This window comes from Homo sapiens, chromosome 1, assembly GCF_000001405.40.
Source record: "Homo sapiens chromosome 1, GRCh38.p14 Primary Assembly".
Taxonomy (NCBI): domain Eukaryota; kingdom Metazoa; phylum Chordata; class Mammalia; order Primates; family Hominidae; genus Homo; species Homo sapiens.
In genome coordinates this window covers 224,502,844-224,520,539 of record NC_000001.11, presented here as the reverse complement: position 1 = coordinate 224,520,539, position 17,696 = coordinate 224,502,844, and the positions used below count along the sequence as shown (strand labels likewise).

The 17,696-nt window shown below is 45.5% G+C and overlaps 1 protein-coding gene across 13 annotated transcripts in view, besides 2 other annotated features; it reads right to left on the bottom strand.

Annotated features, from left to right (window-relative positions):
* Positions 1–17,696, bottom strand: part of CNIH3 (cornichon family AMPA receptor auxiliary protein 3) — a 305,915-nt gene that overhangs the window by 220,015 nt on the left and 68,204 nt on the right. For 7 of the 13 annotated variants that reach the window (NR_136289.1, NR_136290.1, NR_136293.2 and 4 more), the window contains one exon: positions 4,664–4,799. The exons of 5 other annotated variants lie outside the window; for them this stretch is intronic. Coding sequence is in view for 1 of the 8 variants with exons in the window: in NM_001322304.2 (NP_001309233.1) it covers positions 4,656–4,682 (27 nt within the window). In the remaining 7 variants the exon portion in view is untranslated. Of the gene's footprint in view, positions 1–4,655; positions 4,800–17,696 lie in introns of all 13 variants that reach the window. One more of the 13 variants, NM_001322304.2, reaches the window with a different exon arrangement.
* Positions 4,723–4,927: a silencer, noted in NCBI's record as "fragment chr1:224703315-224703519 (GRCh37/hg19 assembly coordinates)". NCBI's record gives its function as "represses an EF-1alpha promoter that drives an FKBP-Casp9 reporter gene in an ReSE screen in K562 erythroleukemia cells {active_cell/tissue: K562}" and the evidence as "EXISTENCE:reporter gene assay evidence [ECO:0000049][PMID:32094911]".
* Positions 10,575–11,486: an enhancer, noted in NCBI's record as "H3K27ac hESC enhancer chr1:224696756-224697667 (GRCh37/hg19 assembly coordinates)". NCBI's record gives its function as "activates a minimal SCP1, AML or CMV promoter by ChIP-STARR-seq in naive H9 embryonic stem cells {active_cell/tissue: H9 hESC(naive)}" and the evidence as "EXISTENCE:reporter gene assay evidence [ECO:0000049][PMID:30033119]".

Genomic DNA, 17,696 nt, shown 5'->3' with positions numbered 1-17,696 from the left:
ATTCCATGTGGTTCAATCTAACTCTTACATATCTCTATGTGAACTAGTTGTCCACCTAAAATAATAAAAAGGTCAGAATCTGTTTTAAAGAGAGTTTGTTCAAGAGCAAATGTTGAGGATGAGCCTGCTTGGGAAGCACAGATTCCAAAGAATGGAAGTCAGTGTTCTTAAGTGTAGAGGTGTGGGATCGCTTATATCGACAAAGCTTAGGAAAGCTTTACAGAATTTCAACATCTTTCTATATAAGGCTTAATGTGTTGTGCTCAAGCCTTTCTGTGTAAGGCTTGAGAGATGTTGTGCTGCATAATAAATTTAGGGTGTCCTAAAATTTTATGTACTTTCACAAAGTGTAGAAGCAGAGAAATTGTTTCCTTCATTTCCAAGCCATGGTGAATCCTTGAGCAACAGAGAACAAAATAATAATAGTAAATGGTGCCAGGGGAGATGTGGCAAAGATGCAGCTGTTGTTGAGTCACCCTGGGAGAAAGGTTTGCTGTTTTTCAACTGGATACAGAGCCTTGGCCTCTGGGTACTCTAAACTAGCACTAGTCAATAGAACTTTCTACAGTGATGGAAATATTCTATTCTGCACTGTCCAACAGAGTAGTCACTATCCACATTGGCTAGTAAGCACTTGAAATGTGGTCTACTGTGACTGACAAAATCAATTTTAATTATATTTAATTTTAATTCATTTCCATCTCAATAGCCACATGTGGCTAGTAGCTACCGTGTTAGTCAAAGTTCTCCCAAGAAACAGAACCAACAGGAGATACATATTAAATAATATATATAATATAAACTATACATGTCACATATTATATATTTTTATGTGTGTACATATATAGTATACATATACATATTTCCTGCCACTTCTGCATGAAGAGTACACACACAAAATGTATATGTGATGTGTATATTATATATATTATTTAATATATTACATATATAACATGTATATATGTACACGCACACATAAAATATATAGTATGTGATATGTATCTTTCACACACACAAGCATACACATACACGCATACAGAGAAAGAGAAATTTTGAGAACTCCCGCAATCATAGAGGCTAAGAGGTCCCATGATCTGCCGTCTGCAAGCTGGAGACTCAGGAAGGCTGGTGGTGTAGTTCCGTCCTAGTCTGAAGGCCTGAGAACCAGGGGAGCCAATAGTGTAAGTCTCAGTCCACAGACAGAAGTAGATTGATGCCCCAGCTCAAGCAGTCAGGCAGAAAAAGAGGCAAGTTTTCCCTTCCTCTGCCTTCTGTTCTATTCAGGCCCTTCTGCCATGACTGTGAGGCCTCCCCTGCCATGCGGTGCTGTGAGTCAATTAAACCTCTTTCATTTATAAATTGCCCAGTTTCAGGTATGTGTTTATTAGCAGCATTAGAACAGACGAATACGATAACCATAGTAGTAACTGCCATTTATTAAGTGCTTTATATATGCCAAGTGCTATGCTAACAGTCTTACAAACTTTACCTCATTTCATCTGCAGAACAACCTAGTGGGGTAGGTATTATTATTAATTCCTTTTATGGATGATGAAACTTAGGCTAAAAAGGTAATTTCCCAAGATCACATGCTCATAATTGGTACCACTAAGAGATTGAACCCATTGCACCAAGCCTGGATCTTAAGAAAACCTGTTTGTAACCACTATTCCTCCATATGAAGCAAAAGGAGGACTAAACTCGAAATCCAAAGGCTGGCTTCTAGTTCTCCTTCTTCCTCTTGTCCTTTGGAGCTGTACGGGTTGTTGCCTATCTCTGAATCTCAGCTTCCTCAGCATAAAATGAGGCTAGTCCTCCCGCCCTGCATGTGTCACAAGGTTGTCACAGTGACTGAATGAGTAAGAGGGGGTCTAGAAGAGACCTCAATGGGCTGAAAAGCAAACAAAAAAGCCTCAATGCCATGGCTCACACCAGTAATCCCAGTGCTTTGGGAGGCCAAGGTGGGAGATCGCTTGAGGCCAGAGTTCAAGACCAGCTTGGGAAGCATAGCAAGACCCTGTCTCTAAAAAAAAAAAAAGGCTTCAAAAATTAGGCAGGTGTGTTGGTGCATGCCTGTAGTCCCAGGAAGGCTGAAGCAGGAGGATACCTTGGAACCCAAGAGTCCGAGGCTACAGTGAGCTATGATTGCACCACTGCACTCCAACTGGGTGACAGAGACCTTGTCTCTAAAAAAACTAAATAAATAAAAATAAAAAATAAGACAAGGTCTGAAGGCAGGCACCAAGTCTGCCTGGCATCCCCAGTATTTTGCACTCAATTAATGTTTATTGAAGTAATAATGCATCTGAAAGTGCTTAGAAAGCTGTAGAGCATCATAAAGTACGAGGTTCATGAATCGCTGCAGTCTGTGGCCACCTCGGGTGAGGGCCGGCTCTGCTGCTAAAGCCTCCCCAGGGTATCTAGAGAATTCATCTCTAAGGTACATAAACCTTAGACCTCTAAGCACTAGAAATGAACAGCACTCCATTATCCAGTCTACAAATTCCAGTAGCGAACCATAAGCATGCTGTCCTGCCGCTTGCTAAAGGATCGCTCGGTTTATCAAGCTTTATGATGAAAGGGTCTATTCTGCATTCCTTACCCTCCTCAAGGCACCCCCATCATTCCCAAGGCCCAGCACACAGCATTAACACCTCCACTGGGTTGGCAGTAATAACATCCTAGTGTTTCTCCTCAGCAAAGATTTGCTCAGAAATAAAAAAGACAAGAATATATTTCCCTAATGGCAAATGCAGCAACCCGGATCGAGACTGTTATTCTAAGTGAAGTATCTCAGGAATGGAAAACCAAACATCGTATGTTCTCACTCACAGGTGGGAGTTAAGCTATAAGGACGCAAAGGCATAAGAATGATATCATAGACTATGTGGATTTAGGGGGAAGGGTGGGAGGGGGTGAGGGATAAAAGACTACACACTGGGTACAGTGTACACTGTTTAGGTGATGGGTGCATCAAAATCTCAGAAATCACCACTAAAGAACTTACCCATGTAACCAAACACCACCTGCTCCCCCAAAACTACTGAAATAATAATAATAATAAACTACAAAAAAAGGAATATCTTTCCCCTCAGAGAGAAACATCCTGGAAGGCGAGGCATCAAACGCCACTCCAGGCGGGTGAGTAAACCCTGTGGGGTTGAGATCAGCCCCACCGCAGCCTACAAAAATGCTGTGTGTAATCAGAGTTTCAGCATCCCGATTTATGAAATGGCTCCGTTAAATAGGCTCCCAGCTGGCATTTCTGCACACACTATTGGGTGTGCAGAACAGGCTCCTGCTCCAAGGTGTGCTCAGCACTGCCCCATGGGAGTATGGAGGTCATCCCACCACCGCCGCCAACCTCCATCAGGTCAAGAGAGCAGAGAGATAGGGGAAAATGCAAGAAACTGAGATAAACACACATGCCAAAAAACTAACAAACAAACAAAAAACACCATATCCCACAGCCAGAACAGCCATACCTGGACATCACAGTATGCAAGATGCCCCATCTCCAGGATCCAGGTGAAATCTTCCCCTACCCCCTAAAAACAGTTCTTAATTTCCCTGTCACTGAAACAGAAGCAGAGCTGGGGAAGTGGGTGAAGCCATCTGGCTTTATACCTATAGCTCCTAAAAACAAAAAAAAACAAGAGTGGGGCCAGGAAGGGCTCACAAGGAAAGAGTGTGTCCTTAGCACTGCGTAGAGACAGATTTTCTGGCGGGGATGATGCGATGATGGCAGAGGGTAAGAAAACGTGCTGCAAAGTTTACAATCTGCCCCATCTGTTCAGCGCTGTTCTGTCCATGGCAGGCGCCGAATGGCTTATCTGCTCTTGCAGTGCAGACCCATGCAGGGGCCAGGCTGTCTGGGGAGGCCTACAGAGACATGGAGGGCCAGCACCACTGCCTGGAGCATGCAGAGGCTTTGCAAAGGCCCAACCCCAAAGGCAGAAAGCCCATGACTCTTCATGGCAGCCCTTTTGCTTTGAGATCTAGGAAATTTTCATCTCTAGCATTGAGCTAGGCTTTGAAAACACAAGGATGAATAAGATGCCATACCTGCCCTCTAAGGTTCATAGTCTCGTGGGAAGCCCATAGATGTGGCCCAGTGGTAGCACCTGGAGTTGACTAGGAAGTCAGCAAGGTAAGTTGAGCTGTGAAGGGCTTTATGTGCCAAGCCGAAGTGCATGGATTTTTTTTTTTTTTTTTTTTTTTTTTTTTGAGACAGAGTCTCGGTTTGTCGCCAGGCGGGAATGCAGTGGCACAATCTCGGCTCACTGCAACCTCCGCCTCCTGGTTCGATCGATTCTCCTGCCTCAGCCTCTCAAGTAGCTGGGACTACAGGCACGTGCCACCATGCCCAGCTAATTTTTGTATTTTTAGTAGAGACAGGGTTTCACCATGTTGGCTAGAATGGTCTCTATCTCTTGACCTCATGATCTGCCCACCTCGGCCTCCCAAAGTGCTGGGATTACAGGGGTAAGCCACCGCGCCTGGGCAGTTCATGGATTTTTTTCTCTACATTTGTGGGTCATAAAACACAATCCAGAGGGTACAAGAAGAAAATACTAAAATGTTCATGTATTTATTTTTATACAATTAAACACATAATAAGCTAAGCTTTATTAATATTCACTCTAAGCAACGACCTTCGTACCTTCACTTGGTCCACTCATCAGTGACCACAAGTCACAGGGTCTTGAGTGATCCTGGGGGAACAGTGGGCATCCCACAACGTGGACGGCTTGACACTGGCGATTCTACTTCTCGGCTCTTGTTCAGCATGATGTGGCCTGTTATAGACAAGCCTGGGTAAGTGGAACTACAGAGAGGATCCCATGTTTAACTATCCCCAAAGTGGGCAAGAGGCTTAAGCTTTTTTCAAAAAAGAAACTGTGGATTGAAGTAATAATGCAAAACAAGATGAACAGCAAGAAAGAGGCAGACCTGACAAGTTGTTAGCCATATTTCAAGGGCAAACAAGACAATATAATCAGATCTCACAGGCCAGCCAAAAAGTTTTCAAATTACCAAAAGAGTCTTTGAAACATGGCTTGGTGCGTGCTGCTGCTAATGAGGAATCTAACCCTAAGTGTAATTGTGCTCAAGATATTAGCTGACAACAGTAATGAAACCATTGCAGTTAACAAGACATTTTAAAATACTGCTTTCCTTTTCTTTACCATTTTTTGAGTTAATATTTGTGTATACTTTACAATGAGCATAATATATTGGTACAGTCATGCATGTACAAAAGTACACATAAATAAGCATACATCTGCTGGGAGTGCATACTCAACACTTTTCACTGCTAAAGAGTGGTAATCAAATCAATGCCACTGTAAATAGCCTAGACCCCCGCCCAGACCCTCCTGTTCTTGGCTTTCACCTTCCAGAAGCAGTAGGAAAAACACTAAAAACATTAAAAGTGGGCACTGCCTACTAAAACTTTGTCAAAGATCATTCCAAAGAGTAAGACCTGCTGGTTTAACAAAACTGTTCCTTCCTAGTCATGGCCATGTGCCAGAGAGGAACAGGTACCCAGCTAAATCTCAGCTCTGCAGCTCACCAAGATGTGGGGCAATTCAAGTCACTTCTCTGGCCTAGGCTCCACACAGGCAAAATAAAGGAGTGTAAGGTAGTATGGGAGGCAGAGAAGGGGCTTCTGTTTTAATGGGGGTTTTGTTTTTGTTGTTTGTTTTTTGAGACAGGGTCTCACTCTCGCCAAGGCTGGAATGCGGTGGCATGACCACGGCTCACTGCAGCCTCAACCTCCCTGGGCTCAGGTGATCCTGCCACCACACCCTCCCAAGTGGCTGGGACTACAGGCTCGCACCACCACACCCAGTTAATTTTTGTATTTTTCGTAGAGACAGGATTTTGCTATACTGCTCAGGCTGTTCTTGAACTCCTGGCTTCAAGTGATCCGCCCACCTCAGCCTCCCAAAGTGCTGGGATTACAGGTGTGAGCCATTATGCCCAGCTTATTTTAATGTTAATTCTTTATCTTAATATGTATTTGAAAAATAGCAATTTTCCATTTATGATGGTGGTCTTTTTAAAATCAACTTATGTAAGTTTTACAGGAGTAGATATTAAAATACTAAACAAATAATATAGCTAGTGTGCAGATTTAGATGTCAAAAACTGGGGGCTGGAGTGTAACTGTGGACTCAGAAACCCTGGCTAGATGATATTTATCTAGTGCCCAGGTCTGAAACTCTATGATTATTCTTAACCTGCATGCGTATAAACTAAAATATCGTAAGGCCCTTATAGCAAACAATAGGACTTAGACAAGTATGTTCCAGTTCAGTTCAGGTAGATCATTTTATACCTCTTGGTCTCTGGCCCCTGATTTAAGATGAACAAATGCAAATCAAAAGAAGATGAATGAAGTGGCTTTTTGTGATGACAGTTTCTGCTGCTGTTGGAGATGAGGTTTGAAGGAGAAGGGTGTTTGTTTGTTTGTTTGTTGCTTTAATAAAGAAAGCTCTCTGCCTTGCCGCTGTGGGAGTCTAAAACTACTGTAGAAAGAAATGTCCAAATATCAGCAAAGGGAGGGAAGGAACGTGAGCCTCAGGCCCTGTCGCTCACCCAGACGCCCTCTCCCGGCAGAAACGTGCGGGTTTGGTGCCCCCTGCTGGCCCTTTTCTGACAAAGACGGACACCCAACCACGGAGGGCCTGGGAGGGCCACTGCAAAGTGAGCCTCTCAATGGTCGTGTGAGTGCGCAGTCTTGCAAAAACGCACCTGAAACAACAGCAATGCATAATGCATGACTGTTAAGAAGACAGATCCCATGAAGTAGCTCTGTGTCTCCTCCTTCATGCCACTATATTGAATTAATGTGTAACTTGAATAGACAACAGCAGAACCCGGGGGAAAATTCGAAGGGCCTCTTCTCATCACTGCTTCTGTCCTCAGCCAAATGGTTCCCCGTGTCCTCCAGGTGCACTGAGAACACAGCTTTTGCAACAGCCCTTACGTGCATCTGAACTGAGGCTGGGAAGTGGGGCTCGGGCATTGCAATCATTTCCTCAAGAAACAAGCTGGCCAGGCCCAGGGGCTCACACCTGTAATCCCAGCACTTTGGGAAGCTGAGGCAGGAGGATCAGTTGAGTCCAGGAGTTCGAGACCAGCCTGAGCAACATAGAGAGACCCCCCCCCTCCCACCCCCACCCCCACCCCCAACTCTACAAAAATTAAAAAAAAAAATTAACCAGGTGTGGTGGTATGTGCCTATAGTCCCAGCTACTCAGTGGGATGATTGCTTGAATCTGGAAGGTTTAGGCTGCTGTGAGCTGTGATCACACCACTGCACTCCAGCCTGAGTGACAGAGCAAGATCCACTGTTTAAAAAAAAAGCTAGGTAGCACAAATTGTAAATTATACAAAGGGACACAGGCTGCGGGCAGGGTCTCTGCTCTCAAAGGGCTTTCCATCTAGAAAAAGAGATAAAAACAGAAATGGTTAATAATGTCAGTTACCATTTATTAAGCCAGCCACTTTACCATTATCTCCAGTGTTAACAGCAATGCTGTAAGCTAATAATTGCCACGTTGCAGATGGGTAAACAGGTTCAAAGAGGCCAAAGGACAGAGGCCAAAAGCGGGAGAGCCAGGTCTCCAACCCTGGTCAGCTTGACTCTGAACTCCATTCTGTGTTCACTCACATCATTTTTAGCTTAGTTCCCCTATACACGTGGGAAGATAAACTACACCCACCCACACATGGGCCCACACATGAACAGGGAGGGCACGTACCCATGACAATAGCCACCTCAGGGGCTGGAGGAAGGTAAATGGGCTGGAGGGGTGGCAGGGTGGGTGGGATGAAGGAAATACAAATGTGTTCTTTCTTTTATTTTAAAAACAAACAAGGTTTAAAGCCCACATATACCTCATGGTATGTTGTTAGATAAAAATACTTTTAAATGCAAATAAAAATTGTTAAATGTAAAAAATGTCAACATTTGTTCATTTTGGTTGATGGGTACCTGGCTATTCATTACTGTATTTTCTGTATAGCTCCATTTTTTCTTTTTTGTTTTTGAAACAAGGTCTCACTCTGTTGCCTCAGCTGAAGTGCAGAGGCACCATCATAGTTCACTGTAACCTCAAACACCTGGGCTCAACTGATTTCCCCCTCAGCCTCCCAAGTAGCTAGAACTACAGGCGTGCACCACCATGCCTCGCTAATTTTTTAATTTTCTGTAGAGATGGGTCTGACTTTCTTGCCCAGGCTAGTCTCAAATTCCTGACCTCAAGCGATCCTCTGCCTTGGCCTCTCAAAGTGCTAGGATCACAGGCATGAGCCACCATGCCCATTCTTAGCTCCAAACTTTTTTTTTTTTTTGAGACGGTGTTTCACTCTTGTTGCCCAGGCTGGAGTGCAATGGCACGATCTCGGCTCACTGCAACCTCCACCTCCAGGGTTCAAGCGATTCTCCTGCCTCAGCCTCCCTAGTAGCTAGGATTACAGGCATGCGCCACCACGCCCAGCTAATTTTGTATTTTTAGTAGAGACGGGGTTTCTCCATGTTGGTCAGGCTGGTCTCGAACTCCTGACCTCAGGTGATCCACCCGCCTCAGCCTCCCAAAGTGCTGGGATTACAGGCATGAGCCACCATGCCTGGCCAGCTCCAAACTTTTAAAAATTTTCTTAAATTTGTTTTGTTTGAGATAGGGTTTGTCCTGTCACCCAGGTTGGAGTGCAGTGGCATGATCATAGCTCACTGCAGCCTCGCCCTCCTAAACTCAAAGGATCCTCCTACTTCAGCCTCCTGAATAACTGGGACTACAGGTGTATGCCACCACACCCAGGTAATCTCTTAATTTTTTATAGGCAAGGAGTCTCGCTATGTTGCCCAGTCTGGTTGCAAACCAGCCTCAAATGATCTTCCCACCTCAGCCTCCCAACATGCTAGGATTACAGGCATGAGCCACCACACCTGGCCTAGTAAATAATATTTTTATTTAGGAAGAAAGAAGGAAAGAAACTGAAAGGAAATAAGTATCCTCCAAGGATCTGAATATGAAATCATGAAAACCAGTCTACCCACTTTGTGATCACATGCGGGTCTGACTATGAACCCACAGGTTCAATCCAAGTGGAGAATACTCAGCTATTTACATAGTGGCTTTTGTCTGGGGACCTCAAAGCACTTCACAAACACAAATTAATTCCACCTCTTGTCACCTCCTAAAAGATAGAGGAGTATTTTACAGATTATTAAATAGGGTCTGGGGAAAATGAAGTGTCTTATCTAACATCACACCATGAGTTACAGACTGAATTGGGAATAGAGCCTTGGAAACGACAAGCAGCCCTCTGGCCTAACCACAACTGTGATGGCATCACTGATAAAGAAGAAACCTATAGCATCTGCCGCTCCCATTCTTCTCGTGATATACTGTAATGCACTGTGCCTTTAAGAAGCAGGCCTTTCAGAGAGGTCAGCCTCCCTTTCTTCACATTAAGCCTCATCTGAAAATATCCTACAATGCATAAACAGAGATCTTTTTCAGGGACAACCCAAACCACATCCTCTGGCTTGCATTTTGCATCTCCAGCCAGGCTGTGTTCAGTGCTGGCCTGTGGTGGAATGAAACAACTCTCCTCCTTTCCCCCTTGCCCCTTCTCCCAGAGGACAAAGCCAGGGAGGAAGGGGACAACCTGTTACCATCAGACCTCAGTGCCAGGGAGGCCTGGTGTGTGCTGAGCCAGGACAGAGAGTATGTGCTCCAGAACCCCCTTTGGAGTATCAGTCAGTAAACTCTGGTTGTGCCATCCTGGAACCCGGCTCCTCTGTGTTTCCTCTTACCTGCCTACCTGAGCCCCACAGCATCAAGGTCAATGACTGCATTGACCGGCCAGGACATTAATATGGTTCTAGTTCTTTCTTTTTTTTGTTTTTTTTTTGTTTTTTTTTTTTGAGACAGGGTCCTGTTCTGTTGCCCAGGCTGGAGTGCAGTGGCATGATCATGGCTCACTACAGCCTCAAACTCCTGCCCTCAAATAAGCCTCCTGCCTCAGCTCTCAGCTTCCCAAAGTGCTGGGATTACAGCCATAAGCCATGTGCCCAGCCTTGTTTCTGGTTCTTGCTGTCACCCACCTCAATTCTGAGTCTCCCAACTGGCCTCCCTGGCTCCCGACTGCTGATAGTGATCGTTTTAAAACACAACGCTGACCACGGGGCGCCCCTACTGACACTCCATGCCTGCCCATCAGCTGAGGATGAAGTTTAAGCTCCTTTGCATGGGGAATGGGGCAAACTGACTCCCGCTGACCCCTCCAGCTTCTTCTACCTCTGCTCCCCCTTCCCAGTAACAGAGCCTCTCACGGGGGCAGTTCCAAGGGGAACATCCATAGACTTCCCTCAGTGAGTCAAGAGGGAGGAGTCCAGAGTTCAGTTATCAAGTTTAAACAAGGCAGGATGAGAAGTGCAGGCCAGCGGTAGAGCCACGAGGTCCACACTGCTAGGAGCCCACGGGAAGCAGACTAAGAAAAGGAAGGCCTGAAGCCCAGAAACCAGCAGCCAAAGGAGCTTCCTCTATGGTTCGTGCATCGAGGGCTGGAAAGCATTGAGGAGGAGACACCACCACTTTCTGGGGCCCTTTTTCTAGGTGGACAGCTGGGGCTCGCCCCTGGGAGACACTGACACTGTCGCCTGCAGCTCTGAGGAGGGAAGGAGGTTGCAGGATTGCTCCTCAGGCCTGGACACCACCCCAGCATGCACTCAGACTTCAGGCGAGGGGGGCACAGAGGTGCCAGAGACTGAGCATGGGTCTCATCGTCACCAGCCTGGCACCTCACACTTCTTTTTGTTTGGATTAATCTTGTAGCCAAGAGGGAGCTGTGGAGGATCTCACCTGGGGAGTAACATGATCAGATTGAGGTTTGCAGAAAAACCACTCTGGCAGCTATTTGGGGCAGGCAGGGTACTTGGGAGATGACAAGAGTCCAGAGGACAGGACAGCAAGAGCCTGACCTGTGGCAAGGAGGGTGGGCCAGGGAGAAGGGGCTGCATGGATTGGGCACTGGGTCTCTGGTGAGGGTAGATTATGTGTGAGCTGGAGGAAAGCATGGAGCCAGAACAGACAGGAGAAGCTGAGAGGAAGACTCACAGCCAGTAAACAAACCACCACCCAGGCTTTCCTTTCTTCTTTCCTTTCTTCTTTCCCTTCTTCTTTCCTTTCGTCTTTCTATCTTCAGGGTTTCACTCTCTCACCCAGGCTGGAGTGCACTGGCATGATCTCAGCTCACTGCAAACCTCCACCTCCCAGGTTCAAGCAATTCTTGCGTCTCAGCCTCCCGAGTAGCTGGGATTACAGATGTGTACCACCACACCAGGCTAATTTTTGTATTTTTAGTATAGATGGGGTTTCACCATGTTGGCCAGGCTGGTCTTGAACTCCTGACCTCGAGTGATCCACCCACCTTGGCCTCCCAAAGTGTTGGGATTACAAGCGTGAGCCACCATGCCCAGCCAGGGCTTTTTTTTTACCATGAGGTTTGCCCAGGAGTAGACGATACAGGCAACTTCTCTCTTTTAGTATCTAATAACACATTTTACCTCTAGCTTTTACTCAAATGCCTAGTTCTACTACTAAACCCTAAACTACTTTAGAATAAAAATCGTAGTTATCTTTGAACCCCCCAGGGTCTAATACTGTACCTCACATATATCACGTGTTTAATAAACAAAGTCTCATTGGCTAGAATACAGGAATACATATATACATACATTTATATCCATATGATTATGACAAACCATATATGATTAGTGGGAGAAGCTGGAAGTTAGAGTTGTACTATATTTTGAAGAATGTTGAATTAAAGATATATTTGATACTCTAAGTAATGGGATATCATTGAAGTTTCATGAGGAGAGTAATTTTATCAGAGCTATGCTTAGGAAACTAAACTGGGCAAGATGTTTTATGGAATAAAGCAGGAAGGAACTGGAAGTAAGATTAACAGAAAGTTACAGCAATATTTTATCATAAAGAGTTCCTGCACAGGGTATAACTAATGGTCCATGGCCCCATTCTACAGACTGCAACCTAAGTCATTGACCATTAAGTTAAAAATCACATCTTAGGAATTCCAATTAAGACACAGACAAATACAGTATAAAATCCAACTGTGCTAGTCCGAATATTTCTGTCTTTACTGGGAAAGCCTGCCCCTTCAAATGCCAGAAGAATTTACAACTCTCCCAGATCTGAGCCTGTGCCATGTTGTGAGTTTGAAAAGGCCCACATCTGGCTTTAATGATCATTGTCTAGAAAAAAACATATCTGAAGGATTGGAGAGAAAGGAAAACTTTGTGGGGAAAAGAAGAGAAGGACATGTTTTATCTCAAGCCACCTAGCTTCTATTTTATAAATTTATCTATTGCCAAATACATTTCAGGAGTAGATTCTCACAAAACATACATATACCAGAAAATAGCAGTCTCAAATGGAAATACCTCTCATTCACTACTCTGGCATGGCAGATGGCCCTCTCCTGATATTCAGGGAAATGGACTTTGCTTTCAGAGAGAAAAGCCTATAAAACAATGAGGAGTTGTCTAGCGTATGCAGAAATGCTTAACCCCTTGCCCTCAGGTATCAAACCTGTATATGGAATACAAACACCATTCCTGAGCAGGGACTAAGTCTTATTCATCTTCATATCACCACAGTGCATTGCACATAGTAAATATCTCTAAATGTGAACATACATAGTTTAATAAGAAGCCTGAACTCTTGAGGTATAAAGATAAATTGGCCTCCCGCACTGGTAAGTCTATGGGGTTTCTGCAGTTCAGCAAGAATCCAACTACAGGACAAGACACCAGGTACCCCTTGCTTGCAGACACCCTTGATAACAGAGCAGAGATGAAGGTGAGTTTTGGGGCTTAGACTGTGTTATATTCAAAAGCATTTTGATTTAACTATGGGCCCTCAGGCTGCAGCATCTAACATCATGGGGATACATATACACCAGAGAAAGATCGCATACACATATATATTTGGCAAACATTAAATAGAATTTATGATGTGCTAGGCACTATTTTAATCACCTTAAAAATATTAACCCATTTAATGTAATTCTCAGAACAAACCCCAGAACATAGGCACTATTATTATCCTCATTTACAAATGAGAAAACTGAGGCACAGAGAGGACACTTGCCCAGGGTCACATTGCTATTAAGTGACAGAGTCAAGATTTGAACCCGATCTGTCTGGCTCCAAGTCTGTGTCTTAACAACACCTGGCCTCGTGCACCGCTCTTTTCTGGGTTGCTACAATTCTCTATTTGGTTTGTTGGATCTGGAGGGATACATACATGTTGATACGTTTATAAGAACTGGTGGCTGGGCATGGTGGCTCATGCCTGTAATCCCAGCACTGTGAGAAGCTGAGGCCAGCAGGTCACTCAAGCCCAGGAATTTGAGACCAGCCTGGGCAACACGGTGAAACCCCGTCTCTACAAAAAAATACAAAAATTAGCCAGGTGTGGTGGCTCACACCTGTGGTCCCAGCTACTCAGAAGGCTGAGGTAGGAGGATCACCTGAGCCCCAAGAAGTTGAGGCTGCAGTGAGCTGTGATCACACTGCTACACTCCAGCCTGGGAGACAGAGACCCTGTCTCAAAAAAAAAAAGAATTGGTGCTTCCTTCTTTTATGAGTATGAATACTTCTCATCAACGTGTAGATACTGAGCTTGTTGATAATTAAAATGTGATCACTTTCTCTCTAGTCCAGTTCTGGGCATGGTCTAATTGCTTAACATATGTGAAGTTCTAGTATGGAGAAGGGTCTAATGGAAAAGCAAGCAACTCCATTTCCCAAGGGTGGCTGCTAGACACGTGGCTTGTTGGCTGCCCTTCTGATCTCACATTGTTACCCTAAAAGGGCTGTATCAGGTTTAACTTCAGGGAAGCCCTTAGAACAGGGACGATGCAATCTCAGCTCTCACTCATCCTCCCCTCCTTGCACACGCCCTACAGAGTAACATGCAGACTAAAACTCCACTGAGCAGCGGGGACTGCCAGCAGATCCTCTGCACTGGGGCCAGGAGGGTGGCATCGAGCAGGGCCCTGGGGCCTGGCAGAGCAGAAGCCAAGGCTGAAGGAGGAAGGAGGGAAGACAGTAAAAACGGAATGTGCTAGCTTCATCACTGTGCCTGAAGTCTTTTACATCCCACGGTTCTGGGACAAAGAGGAGTGACCGTGTGTGTGTGTGTGTGCGCGCGCGCGCGCGCGCGTGTGCGTGCATATGAGTGTAAGGAATGGGAATGTGGCCCCAGGCCTGGTGACACACCAACAGCACTTCACTGCTGATTTTTTGGTTTATTTAATACTCAGCTGCCTTTGTTACAAAGGAATTTCATTCCTCAGAGATTCACTATTTTCAAAAGATTCATTCTCGAAAGATCGTAATTGTTCAGTATTGTATAAACCAAGATTCCTTAAAATAAAAAGGCTTGGGTCTTGGGAGCAATCTTTCCAACTGGGAGCAGGGGAGGGAGTATACTTCCAAAGTGGCAAACAAGATGAAGCCTTTAAGCCAATCATTTCAAGAGAAATAACCAAACTTTTAGTGCAATAGGTCACAGGGATCAATGTACTATTTTCGGTTAAAGCTTTGGCTTGTTCAAAGGACTTTGCACCTCCAGATTTTTTTGGTAATCAATTGGCAGTTTACCAATTTTATTGAACGCCAATGGTTCATATGCTGTTGGTATAAACAGTAAATAAAATTAAAGTTTAGAATCTGCTCTACAAAGACAGTGTTACTGAAAGGCACAAACAATCTAAATAAAATGAAACAAGATCTTAGAGTCAAACAGACCTGAGTCTGAATTCCAGCTCTGGCAGCTACGTAATCCTAGTCAAGTTACTCAATCTTTTTGAGCCCTAGTTTTCTTGTGGGTAAAATGGGGATAATTACACCTACCCTAGGGGTTTGATTTTCCTGTGAAAGTTAAAGGAGATAATATGTAAAAGTTTTCAGCATGATGCAAAAATAAGTGTTTACTAAAATATTAGTTCTCTCCCCTGTGAAAATAAAGAAAAGTAATATGTCATCATTGTGAAGTAACGTCACTCTGCAGATTTACAGACAACCTAACCAAAATGAAGGGGAAAGTGTATTCAAGGTACCTGAGTACCCACTACGTGTATACCACAATTCATGATATGGCAAAAAAGACTTTTTTTTTTTTTTTTCCTTTTTGAGACAAGGTCTTGCTTTGTCACCCCGGCTACAGTGCAGTGGCATGAACACAGCTCACTGAAGCCTTGACTTCCCGGGCTCAAACAATCCTCCCACCTCAGCCTCCTGGACTACAGGCGCGCACTACCATACCTGGCTAATTTTTGTATTTTTTGTAGAGACAGAGTTTGGCCATGTTGCCTAGGCTCATAATCCACTCTTTAAAAGCTTACACTTGACCTGTCTCTCACAAGAAAGGAAGGAAGGAAGGAAGGAAGGAAGGAAGGGAGGGAGGGAGGGAGGGAGGGAGGGAGGGAGGGAGGGAAAGGGAAAATAATAAAGAGCTTACACTCAAGTCAGGGAATAAAAACGTTCATATTAAACACTCAGTGGCATAAAAGCCATACTTGCCCTCCATTGAGCACTTACAATGTGTCAGGCATCATGCTGACCACCTCAGGAACAGGGTCTCATCTGATCCTCTAAACAGCCTGATGAGATAGCTATTGCAATGTCCCATTTCCCAGATAAGAAAACTGAGGCCTAGCAAGGTTAAATTACTTACCCCAAGGTCACAGAGTTAAGATGTGGGCTTTGAACTCAAGCAGTGTGAATCTATAAGCAGCGGCATGCAAAGACCAGTTACAACTAAGTCACAGGAGAACCCAGAAAAAGATTAAGGTGGGGTTGGACTAGTGACACATGACTCCTTGGAGGAATTCAGCTGGGCTCTAGAGGAAACATGGAAGGCAGGTGGGTACAGGAGGGGAGGAGAGGGGAGGGGAGGGGGTCATGGGAGCAGTCTCCTGCTGAAGCCTCCAGAAGACCGCAGGAGGAAAGGGGAACTTTCTTAGGGGGAGAGGAAATTGGAAGAGGAATCCCTTTACCAAATGTCGCTTGGAGCCCAGAATTTCAGCCAGTCTGCATAAGAATAATGTCCTACATTTTTAAAGAACACACCATAGTTTACAAAATGCTTGCACAAAACTGTCCCATTTGATGATGACAATGGGTAACATTTACTGAGAAATTTATAATAAACCAGGCACTACACTAGCTCATTCCAGCCTTAACAGGGTGCTAGGAAGTAGGTTGTAGTCTTGTCCCTCCCAGGTGAGAAAACAGAGACCAAGGTCAGCTAACATGTGGCAACAGTAGGGTTTCAGGTTTGAACCTAGGTCTAACTCGGGAAGGCATCATCCATACAGTCCTCAAAACAGCCTGTTTAAGTAAGTAGGGCAAGTACTGTATCCATTTTTCAGATGAAGAAACTGAGACTTAAAGGGAGCAAGGAAATGAATAATTTAACTCCACTAATAACTAAACCAGGTTTTATCACCCAGTCCTCAAGTCCCCTCCACCCCACCTCCAAGTTTGCCTTCCCAGGCCTGAGGGCGTCTCTGTCCCGGCACCCCTCCCTCCTGGAGCGGCCAGAGGCCTCAGAGCCTGTGGTTGCTGTGGCCTACAGCACAGCGTGCCCGAGCCTGCAGGGCTGGGCCTGTTATTCCACAGTAGTTGGCACTCCCACGGCAATCCCTGCCAGAGGGCTGGGTCGGGTTTCCTGTCTATCTCCCTTGCCACAGCTGTGTTTTCAATAGGGAAGTCGCCTGCTGCCTCTCCTGGGGGAGGACCACACTCCACCTCCCCTTGCTAAACACCAGGCAGCCCTGTGCGGTTGCCAGGGTTGTGTGAGGATAAGATTAGGAGGGGACCCGCCCCTGTGCAGGCCTGAGCAGCTGGACAACCGCCCATGAGACACGGGCTTCCCCGAGGCCCAGGCTGTCACCTCGGCTCTGGGAGGCCCGGTGGGGTTGCAGACAGCAGCGACAGCCCTCCTCCTGCAGGGGAGCCACCTGGCTGTTTCAGAGTGAGAGTCCAGGCTGCCTGTGGGGTCAAAACAGGAGGAAGAAGGAAATAAGAGGGGGGAGGGTGACAGAGACAAGAGGAACAAAGACAGAAGCAAGGGAGGAAAAGACAGAGAGGAATTAGGGCCAAAAGACCGACAAGGGAAGGAGATGTGGAACACTCTGCGGTCCTGGCTTTCAGCAAGTGCAGCACCCGTGCCTCAGGCTCTCCCTAGCTGATAGGAATTTTAATTACACACAATTAAATTGTATATGACATTTAGTACATTGTGTTCTAAATAGTGTATTGGATTTGAATACAAACTAAAGGCCATCTTCTTTCTCATCCTCCTCCCAAAAAGGTGGTGACTTCATCCGTGCAGAAGTCTCCCAGGTTTCCTCCGCCCCTGCCCCCACCTCCCTCCCTCCCTCCCTCCCCGGGAGAGCTGTTTGCCTTCCTTCTGCCCTTCTGGGGTTGGCACCCAGCTGTTTCTTCCCTCCTCCTCCTCCCTCACCCTCCAAAGCTCCGATCCCATCACCTTAGCCTGTGTTCTACCCCCTGTCAACTCACAGGCTTTCAACATCTCACCCTTCCCTCCACCTTTTATGTCTCTGGGCTCTGTTCCCCACCA